A 12590-nucleotide genomic window follows, 5' to 3' on the forward strand; every position below is an offset into this window, starting at 1 on the left:
TATTCAAGGAGATTTATTGTGCTCAATTCTGCTTGTATTCATCACTATACCTATGTTTTAACTCCTAGAAAATGAGATAGAAGAAAGAGTAACTCATCTTTGGACAAAACCTGCTCGTGTATTCAAAAATGGGGATAGTTTGGAGGAATGTGATATTTGGACTTTTGAAAGTTTATCAACCTTCAGATCCCAAAAATACAAATAAGTCTGGTTTGAACATCAGAAATATAATAACTCTTCTAACTTACCTATTTTCACAAATGGAAGTATTTTGAGTCTCCTTATACAGCTTTCTTCTCTTTTTTCTCAATTCAGCCAGTACAGTAATATACAGTCAAAAAGAGTTAAACCAATGCCTGGTTATGAACTGAAGAAGCAGTTAAAACACTCTTAAAATGCTAACATTTTCACCAATAATTTTAAGCACTTTAATCTATCATCTGTAAAATTCTGATGTTTCACATTTACTTTCATCATAGAGCAACAGAAGTATTAACAAATAATCATGAACTTCTTAAAAGTTCACAGTAGGATTTTATCTCCGAATTTCTAAACCAAATGAGTTTCATTTAGTGTGGAAGAAATTCAAAGTTAAATCATTCATGTACAATGGATTTATACTAAGAATTTCATCCATTTTGTGATAAGAAATATTACATTTTTTATTAATTTAAAAACCAAACTATTGTCTTTGTTTTTAAAAACCTTACAGTAAAGTTTATGTTAATCTTGGACACTAATTGGACTAACTGAGCAAATTCCTTAACAAACCTCGCTATTTTTCAGGCCTTTATGAATGATATTTGGCAATTTTATGTCTTGAGGAGGAGATTCATAAGAATAAAGGTGGCAGGTTGGGGGAGCCGCACAAAACTTGTTCTTTCCTGATTCAGAAAACTTTCAGTAGACAATTACTTTCAGAAAAAAATCCCTAGACTCAAAATAAATGACAAATCTTGTCAGATGCCACAAGACAGACAAGGAACCCAAAGCTAACGTTATCTGGCACACCAACTCTAATACTGGAAGCAATTCTACTCACCTGGAAACAAAAGGTTAAGAAGCCCACATCTGGATTCAGCCCACATCTAGCCGGAGGCCGGACTACTATAATTAGTTAGTGATGTCTGTCTTGGAGAACAGAGTAAGGAGTAGTGGCATGTTTCCCATGAATTCTCCATCCTGAAATTAAGTGCTTGGACAAAGTTTGTATTGAAACTAAGGAAGATCCAGATGCAGTAAGGCATGCCAGTAATTTAGCAGATGACATTTTTTATTAGGCCAGGATGGAAATGAGAAAACCTTGATGGAATCAAAGTATACATTAGCTGCAGGAAAGTCATGAATTTTAATTATAGTGGATTTGAAAGATAGCCATTGTAAGTTTAAGTAATACCCCAGGCCTCAATTAGAAGTGCCATTTTCTGAGAATGCCAAGTGAGGTTATCGTTTACTACAAAAAGATAGATGTGTATTGGAAACATGGCACTTAAATACATTCACATACATTTGAGCTGAAAACAAAAATATAAACAGGACTTTAATTAATGAGGGTTTTAAGTTTTTCCCATATGTCAACATAATATCAAGGTGCTATACTAACTTACCAGTACTGGGGTGAGAAAGGGTTACAATAAGGTGCCCCTCAGAGTTAAACTGGAAAGATCACAGCAAAGGTAAAAAAACCGTTAAACAGAATAACTCTCTGGCCTGAAATGTTCTAATGTTACCAAAATATTTGTCATGTAAAAGAAAGAAGTATCAATCAAGTGAATTTAACAAAATAGAGAATTACAAAGACAAATGTTAGCACTGTCTGGGGAAGAGAAAACTTTGGTCATCTCTAAATGAGCTTTTCCAATGTCACAGGCCTGGACAACTCTCACGTAAGCTGGATGCAGGGGTTTTGATTAATAGACTTTGAAGTTTAGATCCATTTGGGGGAGGTGGACCTAGCAGGCTATCTGAGCCTGGAACCATTGAGATTTCCATTTTTCTAATACTACTTTTCCTGATTCTAAACCCAACTGATGACTTCCTCATTATGGTTTACTTTCCCACGTAGATCCTACTATAGGAAAAGAATATGTTAATCATAGGAACTTGTACTCTCTGGGACAATAATTTGCAATATAATTTTATAAGTTTTATTTTAATTGATCAATACTTCCCATGTAACCGGACTACCTGGAAAGAGCCCTCTAATTGTATAGACAGTAATTGAAGAGTATTTCAGTTCCTCTCTAATTTATAATTACCCATTTTAAACTAATAGATGGTATCCTGCTTTTATTCATTGGTTTCATGAGCTTTTGCTAATCTGATTCTGCCCCAGAAAAATACTGACTCTCTCTGCAAGTGTACTGAATCAGGTTTTGGAGCCTGTCGGTCAGAAACAGACCTCAGAGTGTTCGTTGATTAAGGATGGTAATGAGAGTTACCTCATGATATACCATGGGAGAGAGCCACTGGAAGTACCCCAGAGTCACTGCTAGCAACACACAGGCATGAGATTTCTACACAAACATGTAATATACCTAGATACAAACATTCTTGATCAATTTACAATTATACAGAGTACTCATATATATTTTCAAAAATTGTGATATTCTATTTACTTTAGATACTTATATAAAATAAAATGCAGAAGGGTACTAAGAACTGAAACTTATGAAGATAACAAAAAGGATTAATTGGCAATGACTGCATCTGCCCTCAATAAATAAAACTCTATATATGACGTATATACTTAGACAAAAGGAACTAGTACGACTATAGTGTTCATTTTAACAAGTTTCCAGTTCCACCTATCTTAGGAAGATGCAGTAATAGTTAATTAATATGCTGATTGGAAAAGTTCCGGCTTAGACAGGTTTGTACTTCTTGTGGGAGCCATATTATCATCTCATATGCACTAAACAAAAATGTCACTTTTTTGCTTCAGGGTTCTTATCTCTAATCACAAGATGTTATGAGTCTTTGCTTATGCACTTGTTGAATAAATAGACTCCAGGTATTGAGTCATTAACAACTATAGATATAGAACACTTTGCCTCCCTTCAACATGCTTGATAATAAAGTCAGTGCTTACCTATTAATCCAAAAAAGCAGCTGTGGATTGCCACAAGATTCATGCCAATGGGCCAGGCGCAGTGGCTCACGCCTGTAATGTCAGCACTTTGGGAGGCCAAGGTGGGCAGATCATGAGGTCAGGAGATCAAGACCATCCTGGCTAACACGGTGAAACCCTGTCTCTACTAAAAATACAAAAAATTAGCCAGGCGTGGTGGCAGGCGCCTGTAGTCCCAGCTACTCAGGAGGCTGAGGTAGGAGAATCACTGGAATCCAGGAGGCAGAGGTTGCAGTGAGCCAAGATCACGCCACTGCACTCCAGCCTGGGCGACAGAGCGAGACTCTGTCTCAAAAAAAATGCGCGCCAATACTACACTTGCTTGGAATTCAGGTGAAGCAAATCCCTGACCATGTAACAATATTGTGCCTCCTTCATCAAACCATTAACCATCCCACAGAACCATTAGCTAACCCCTTTATGCACGCATTTTATTAAATGCTTTTTGTCTCTCTGTTTCTCAATTTGATATAGCATACTTCCACCATACCCTACATACCCTCCTACTCAAATCCCTAAAAGTTAAATCTAAATTGTGTTTCTCTTATTATAAACATGGATGTGAATAGAGTGAATATCTTAAACTAGGATTAACACATAGATTGATTACAACTAAAATAAATAAAACAGAATTCACTCAAGAAGAAAGCCTTTATAAAAAGAAATTAACCCACATTGAAATTGAAAAAAAATACTGTAATTTTATATGTGTATGTGCTTTTCTCTAAAATTCATCTGAAAGGAAATAATACATTGACCTAATGGGAAGTTTTATGTTTCTTTTTTTGTTCGCTAGTTCTGGAACACATTCTAATAATAGGAGACCCTTCGCTGAAAAATAAATAAATGATAATAACTTTAGACCTAGAAAAGTAATTCCTGGTCTAACGTTTAAGTCTTTAATCCATCTTGAATTGATTTTTGTATAAGGTGTAAGGAAGGGATCCAGTTTCAGCTTTCTACATATGGCTAGCCAGTTTTCCCAGCACCATTTATTAAATAGGGAATCCTTTCCCCATTGCTTGTTTTTCTCAGGTTTGTCAAAGATCAGATAGTTGTAGATATGCAGCATTATTTCTGAGGGCTCTGTTCTGTTCCATTGATCTATATCTGTGTTTTGGTACCAGTACCATGCTGTTTTGGTTACTGTAGCCTTGTAGTATAGTTTGAAGTCAGGCAGCGTGGTTCCTCCAGCTTTGTTCTTTTGGCTTAGGATTGACTTGGCGATGCGGGCTCTTTTTTGGTTCCATATGAACTTTAAAGTAGTTTTTTCCAATTCTGTGAAGAAAGTCATTGGTAGCTTGATGGGGATGACATTGAATCTCTAAATTACCTTGGGCAGTATGGCCATTTTCACGATATTGATTCTTCCTACCCAAGAGCATGGAATGTTCTTCCATTTGTTTGTATCCTCTTTTATTTCCTTGAGCAGTGGTTTGTAGTTCTCCTTGAAGAGGTCCTTCACATCCCTTGTAAGTTGGATTCCGAGGTATTTTATTCTCTTTGAAGCAATTGTGAATGGGAGTTCACTCATGATTTGGCTCTCTGTTTGTCTGTTGTTGGTGTATAAGAATGCTTGTGATTTTTGTACATTGATTTTGTATCCTGAGACTTTGCTGAAGTTGCTTATCAACTTAAGGAGATTTTGGGCTGAGACAATGGGGTTTTCTAGATATACAATCATGTCGTCTGCAAACAGGGACAATTTGACTTCCTCTTTTCCTAATTGAATACCCTTTATTTCCTTCTCCTGCCTAATTGCCCTGGCCAGAACTTCCAACACTATGTTGAATAGGAGTGGTGAAAGAGGGCATCCCTGTCTTGTGCCAATTTTTAAAGGGAATGCTTCCAGTTTTTGCCCATTCAGTATGATATTGGCTGTGGGTTTGTCATAGATAGCTCTTATTATTTTGAGATATGTCCCATCAATACCTAATTTATTGAGAGTTTTTAGCATGAAGGGTTGTTGAATTTTGTCAAAGGCCTTTTCTGCATCTATTGAGATAATCATGTGGTTTTTGTCTTTGGTTCTGTTTATATGCTGGATTACATTTATTGATTTGCGTATATTGAACCAGCCTTGCATCCCAGGGATGAAGCCCACTTGATCATGGTGGATAAGCTTTTTGATGTGCTGCTGGATTTTGTTTGCCAGTATTTTATTGAGGATTTTTGCATCAATGTTCATCAAGGATATTGGTCTAAAATTCTCTTTTTTGGATGTGTCTCTGCCCGGCTTTGGTATCAGCATGATGCTGGCCTCATACCATAAAAACCCTAGAAGAAAACCTAGGCATTACCATTCAGGACATAAGCACGGGCAAGGACTTCATGTCTAAAACACCAAAAGCAATGGCAACAAAAGACAAAATTGACAAATGGGATCTAATTAAACTCAAGAGCTTCTGCACAGCAAAAGAAACTACCATCAGAGTGAACAAGCAACCTACAAAATGGGAGAAAATTTTCACAACCTACTCATCTGACAAAGGGCTAATATCCAGAATCTACAATGAACTCAAACAAATTTACAAGAAAAAAACAAACAACCCCATCAAAAAGTGGGCGAAGGACATGAACAGACACTTCTCAAAAGAAGACATTTATGCAGCCAAAAAACACATGAAAAAATGCTCACCATCACTGGCCATCAGAGAAATGCAAATCAAAACCACAATGAGATACCATCTCACACCAGTTAGAATAGCAATCATTCAAAAGTCAGGAAACAACAGGTGCTGGAGAGGATGTGGAGAAATAGGAACACTTTTACACTGTTGGTGGGACTGTAAACTAGTTCAACCATTGTGGAAGTCAGTGTGGCAATTCCTCAAGGATCTAGAAGTAGAAATACCATTTGACCCAGCCATCCCATTACTGGGTATATACCCAAAGGACTATAAATCATACTGCTATAAAGACACATGCACACGTATGTTTATTGCAGCATTATTCACAATAGCAAAGACTTGGAACCAACCCAAATGTCCAACAATGATAGACTGGATTAAGAAAATGTGGCACATATACACCATGGAATACTATGCAGCCATAAAAAATGATGAGTTCATGTCCTTTGTAGGGACATGCATGAAATTGGAAATCATCATTCTCAGTAAACTATCGCAAGAACAAAAAACCAAACACCGCATATTCTCACTCATAGGTGGGAACTGAACAATGAGAACACATGGACACAGGAAGGGGAACATTACACTCTGGGGACTGTTGTGGGGTGGAGTGAGAGGGGAGGGATAGCATTGGGAGATATACCTAATGCTAGATGACGAGTTAGTGGGTGCAGCGCACCAGCATGGTACATGTATACATATGTAACTAACCTGCATATTGTGCACATGTACCCTAAAACTTAAAGTATAATAATAATAAAAAAAAGAAATATTAAAAAACAACAACAACAACAAAAATAAAATAAAATAAAAGTAATTCCTGAACATGCCTAATAGTGAGTACTGCCTGAGATGCTTGAATTTTAGAAATCAAACTTAATGCATCAGAATCTCTAGGATTGACCTAGGGGCTCTACATACTCACCATGCGCTTTAGGTAAATGTTAGGATCAGGCAAATAGAGAAATATTGCCGAGGAAGAAAATGGAGAAGTAATTTTGGTAATCAAAGATTACCAAAAACTGTTATAGAAATTGTAAACCTAGAATCAAGGTTTCAGAATGGAAAATGGCTCCAAATCTGCAATAGAACTTTAAAAAACAGTAAGAATTAATGTTTTCCTAAGTGACCAGAGAACTCTACCTTAAACTGGATTTTAAAATAGTGTTTACTGCTGTTCATCCCAAAAACTTAGTGTAGGGGTCACCTTCCTCAGGAAACTTTTTCTACTCTGATTTAGAGGCCCCTCCTGCGTTTCTATAGCATCCTCTGCAGACTCTTTCAAAGTATTTATTATCCTGCATCATAATTGTGGGTTGTATTAGCCTGTACGCTTGTGGTTGTAGAGAATGTGTCTGTCATTTCCAAAACTATCCCAGTGTCTAAACATAATATGTTTTACCTAGTTTTTTATTTTGCATATATTTGTTAAGGAAAAGAAATTAACTTTTCTAATGAACTGATTTAAAAAGAAAAATGAATCTATTCATAAAAGGAAATCCGAGTCCTCGTAAGAAAATTCTCAAATCAAAAGCATAAGGAAAACCTGTTTCCTGAATTCACTGGGGCTGAATTATGTATCGTTGTGTTCTGTTCTTTACACATGCATTTGTCTTCCTGTATAGAGACTCATTTGTGTTGAGTTGATATAGTTTAAAGACTAGAGGCTCATTCAAGTTACCTCAGGTAATGGGACTCCAGAAAGTAATATTACTTCAAGTAATGTGGGACTCCAGAAAGCTACACATTCAGGAATCATAGGACCTAGAGGGTGTTCTGAGACCAAGGTAGCTGTAAGGTCCATAAAAATCAGAATTTCTTTAAAACTTATGAATTGTTTATTATTGAAATTTTTCATTTAATTTTTCTGGACCACAGTTGACAATTGGTAACCAAAACCCTGGAAAAGGGGCCTACTGTAAATATTTTTCTGATGAGGTCGCTTTACTTACAATAGAAATAAAACTTTAAACAAGGTAAAGAAAAAAATGAGAAATGCTAATATTAATCTTGCCTTAGTGCTTTATTTTGAACCCAACAGATGCTTTTCACATGTCTAACTTTCTCTTTTCTGTACTCCTGACTAAATTAATATTCCTTCAAAAAAAGTGCTGCTTGTTTACGGTTTCTGCAGTAGTTAATTAATCTTACAAATGGCCCAATATGAATGCATCAGATATTCTCCATATCAAGATTCAGCTCCAGTTCTAACTGCTGACTGCCTCGTCCGCTGGATTCTCAGGTCGAATTTCCAAGCAAGGGAATCCACTTGCTTCAGCTCACCTTTCTGAGTCAGCCCATATCAGTCCTGGCCTTCTGTGAAATGTCCATTCTTGGTTCATATCCCCACATGCCCCCCACTTCTAAACTATGACTGAGCAACGGCTACCTGAGAACCATCCTTCCAGCAAAGGCTTGCAAAGGCAGGTGCGATGGCAGCTATCTATCTTGATCTGAATCCTGTGAGAACAGTCATTATGGTTTCTAGCCAATCCCACAGATTTGGGAGTAAACTGAACCTCTTTGGAGAGGCTCAAAAGATTCATTTTGAAGCTTGCAAAGTCTAAGTAGAATAAGTAGCTCTCTTAGATGGGACCAGCTAATTTTATCATTTTATTATATGTATTGCTCCATACCCACTTGGAATGCAAGTTCCAATAGGCATTTATATCTTGTGTTTTGTTTACTCTAAACCTCAACACTAGGAAGAGTTATGGCATTATAAGGTACTTAAAAAATATTTTATAAATGAATGAATGAACTTAAATGTCCAAAAGGGAGCAGCGGAGTGGCCAGTAGCAAAATAAATTATGTTCACCCTTATGTAATAAAATACATTATGTAATAAAATACGCTATATAATAAGGTACATTCAGGCATTTAAAACATGTTGTGTAATAAGTTTGGCTGGGTGTGGTGGCTCATGCCTTTAATACCAGCACTTTGGGATGCCAAAGCGGGTGGATCACCTGAGTTCAGGAGTTCCCTGACCAGCCTGGCCAACACTGTGAAACCCAGTCTATACTAAAAATACAAAAATTAGCCGGGCGTGGTGGTGCATGCCTGTAATCCCAGCTACTTGGGAGGCTGAGGCAGGAGAATTGCTTGAACCCGGGAGGCGGAGGTTGCAGTGAGCCGAAATCGCACCACTGCACTCCAGCCTGGGCGACAGAGAGAGACTCCATCTAAAATAATAATAATAATAATAATTTTAATGACGTGAAATATTCATGATCTTCTCAATGGGAAAAGTAAATTACAAGAAAATGAGATATGAGTATGGAAATAAACTAGAAAGAACTCAGCAGATTGTTAGCAGTAGTTATCCTAGATCACACAATTGAAGATGATTTCCATTATCTTCCTCTAATTTTTATAAAATATCTATAGTGAACACCTATTAGTGTTATAACCAGAAACTTCATACACATGTACACACACAGAGACACAACACACACAGAGTTACACAATAAATGCTACACTAAAAATAATAATAATCACTTAATAGTGATGTACATAAAATGGAATTATTTTGTGTTGTTGGTATATCAGGAATAGAATTTCTATTTACTCAGTTCCAATTGTTCTGTATCTGTAAGTCACATATGTTGCCTAACACCTGCCCCACAGTGTGATTATTTGTGTGTGCATCTTTTCTACTGTATAATGGGGCATTCTTATTACAGAGGTAATCTGTGTGTGTTTCATCTTTGTGCTTTCCATTGTGTCTAGATCAATGTTTGAATCTAATAAGAGGTTGCTAAATGTATTTTAATGATTGACTAAACGCATGAAGAGTTATATTTCAGGGGCATGACTTGCTTTAAGGTATATCCAAATGTGAATAGCAAGCCTAGTTTTAATAAAACTACATTTGGCAGAGTCTCTGCTTGCAAGTAAATGAAATTTAGACTTCAGAAAATGTTTGAATGGCCCTAAATCTTTAGCAGGTTTTCATAAGTGATGATGAAATTTACCTGACACAGAACAAAGGACTATTAAACTGGAAAAGACCAGGAAGGTTATCTATCAATCTTTTAATTTTTGATGGAGAACTAGAATTCCAAAAAGATTATTTAGTTCACTGCAGGTCACTTCTATAGTATTCCGACCAGAACTCTGTTCTTCCTGACTCTCAGTTCACCACTTCACCCGCTACAACACACTGTTTCTGCACGCCTGGCTAAATTGGTCTTGACGTGATGTACATTCCTTCTTAATATGAGTCAGTGACCTGGTACTGGGAAAATCTGTGAGTGGTTTAACATGTCAGGCTATTGTCTAAGAAAAAGCAAACCATCTCCATGTAGGGTTAAAAAGCAAAAAAATAGTGCTTTTGAGAAAAGCTGTAATAAGCACTTGCAGTTAAGGAAAAATGTCTAATGTACTTTTAAAGAACTACGAATAAAGAACTATGTTCTCTTTATCTTAATACATTGTATTGATATTACTTATAAAATGGTAAGACTTTTAAATTTATAAAGCCAAAACATTTTATTTCATCTTTTTGCTATCCTCCATATTAGCCCTATTTTTCTATTATTAATGTTCTTCATCACTAACTGTGGTGTTAGATACAGCAGGTCCTTAAATAATGTTGTTTCATTTAATATCATTTAGTTATAATGTTGATAAGGAAAACATCAGTTCCCATCCAGGGCCAATCTGTGTGTAGTTTGCACATTCACCCCATGTCTATGTGGGTTTTCTCCTGATACTCTGGTTTCTTCCTACATCCCAAAAATGTGCACATCAGGTTAATTGTCCTGTATAAATTGTGATGGAATACCATATTGTCCAGGGTTGGTTCTTGCCTTGTGCCCTGAACTGCCAGGATAGGCCCTGGCCCCCAAGCAATCCTAAACTGGAATAACTGGGTAAATGATTATCTTACTTGTTTTTATTACTCTTTCCTAAATATATGTAGAGCTAACATTTATTTCAATGTTTAATATTAAAGTTCTTTGGTTCCTATTTAGAAGCTGGGTGATGTTTTGGGGGCCAGAAATATGTCATAGGAAATTAACTCTTGTTTAGATTATTTAACCAATGGTAAAATTGGTTTTGTTATATGTCATTTGGTTTACAGTTTCAGTTTCCAAGAACCTACCAATAACATTAAGTGAGAACTTACTGTAATTACTTGTCACTCTGAGATTAAGAAAACCACAAGAAAGCATGATTAAGTTGTGCTTTTTATTTGACCTCCATAGTTAAGAAAAATAGGAGTTTTTGGAATGGATATTATCTTAAAATGTAAGAAAATAGATATTAAGTTGGAGAAATGAATATTATGTTATTCTTTGTTCAATCCTTTGATAGTTTCCCATAGCAATCAATGACACCCAGTAGCAAAGATTTTAATTCCTACATACTAAATACAAAGTGCTCAGATTTTAATTCCTAAATACTATTTCTAGCATTCAGGATAGACAGAAAATTTCTTCACTTGAAAAAAATCAAATCTGGCTCCTGTCCACTTTTCTCATCCTTTTTTTCAATAATTTCTTATATGCACCTTTCACTCCACCCATACAGAATAATTCATAGTACCTTGAACAAAACTTTGTACTATCTCACTCTATGTCTTAAAGTGCTATCACCTCAAGCTGGAATGCCCTCCTGCAAATTTGAACTCATACATCATTTTTTTAAAGAAGACATCCCCAACCCTCCAGCTTGATTTCTAAGGTTTCTCCTCTGTGTTCTCATGGTACTCAGGCATAACCCAATTATAATTTGCCTACAGTCCTATAATCAATTATCTTTACCTTCCAGTAATTTTTGACTTCCTTGATGGAAGACATCATGCCTTATTCTATTTTACATTCACAGTACACTGCAAAAGTTTTGGCACATAGTAGGTTCTAAATAAAAGACAATGTGTTTCCCATGACTTCCCATGACTACATACATACTATCTTTGGAATTTGAAAGAAATTTGGTTGCCTTGGAAGTACCTCACCACAGAATTCACTTGATTACAGAGGGTTTGAGTAACTGGTTTTTATTGTCTCCCAACATGGCATTTTATTGAAGTCATTGAGTTTATGAGAATATGCTCAGTTTCACTCATAATAAGAAAAATGCAAAGTAAGATTATATTGAGACACTATTTCTTACCTACCAGATTAACAAAAATTCAAATGATTGCTAAGATATTCTGTTAGCAAGTCTGTGGGAAAACAGGTACTCTCATACATCCTAGTGCGTGAGCAAATGGTACAACCCTAATGGAAGAAATTTAACAACATCTAACAAATCTACATAGCACTTGCTCTTTGCTGCAGAAATTCTACCTTTAGGACTCTACCTTAAAGAAGGAATTACCACAAAGTCAATTTTTTAATGAACAATCTGAGTGCAAACCATTTTTTCAGTTATTCATTACCGGATTATTTGTACATCAAATAGTGGGAACAACCTAAACATCCATCCATAAGAGACTAGTTAAAAAAATCTGTGGTATAGCCATACAAGAGACTACTATACAAATAAAATTAAGAAGATTTTGATGTGCTATGATTTCCACAATACATTAAGGGAGGAAAAAGTGGGCAATCTGAATACATATTGATATTTACCTACTTGTACGAAAAGAAATACAGGAAAAACACACCAAAAATAATAAAAGTGTTTTGTTAATTATTAATAGAAATTTTAAAAATTTAAATTATTAATAAAAAGAAAACTACATTTAAAATGGGGGGATGGTGGGATGAGAGCAGAAAAGTAAGGGGGTGAGTGGGAGAAACACTTCACTACGTACATTTTTTACACAGTTTTGTTTTTGTTTTTTTTTTTTTTTGAGACAGAGTCTCACTCTGTTA

The 12590-nt window shown here is 35.9% G+C and overlaps 1 protein-coding gene and 1 long non-coding RNA gene across 14 annotated transcripts in view; one reads left to right on the plus strand and one right to left on the minus strand.

Annotated features, from left to right (window-relative positions):
• The window catches only part of NDST3 (N-deacetylase and N-sulfotransferase 3), a 225313-nt gene that overhangs the window by 111554 nt on the left and 101169 nt on the right, over nt 1–12590 (plus strand). For 2 of the 13 annotated variants that reach the window (XM_047416415.1, XM_011532416.4), the window contains exon 7: nt 69–12590. This exon is cut by the window's right edge and continues 21185 nt beyond it. The exons of the other annotated variants lie outside the window; for them this stretch is intronic. In XM_047416415.1, the coding sequence (XP_047272371.1) occupies nt 69–80 (12 nt within the window). In that variant the 3' untranslated portion in view covers nt 81–12590. The remainder of the gene's footprint in view (nt 1–68) is intronic. 13 annotated transcript variants of the gene reach the window in all.
• The window catches only part of LOC107986307 (uncharacterized), a 149690-nt gene that overhangs the window by 90139 nt on the left and 46961 nt on the right, over nt 1–12590 (minus strand). The gene's annotated exons all lie outside the window — the stretch shown is intronic.

This window comes from Homo sapiens, chromosome 4 (genome assembly GCF_000001405.40).
Source record: "Homo sapiens chromosome 4, GRCh38.p14 Primary Assembly".
Lineage (NCBI taxonomy): Eukaryota > Metazoa > Chordata > Mammalia > Primates > Hominidae > Homo > Homo sapiens.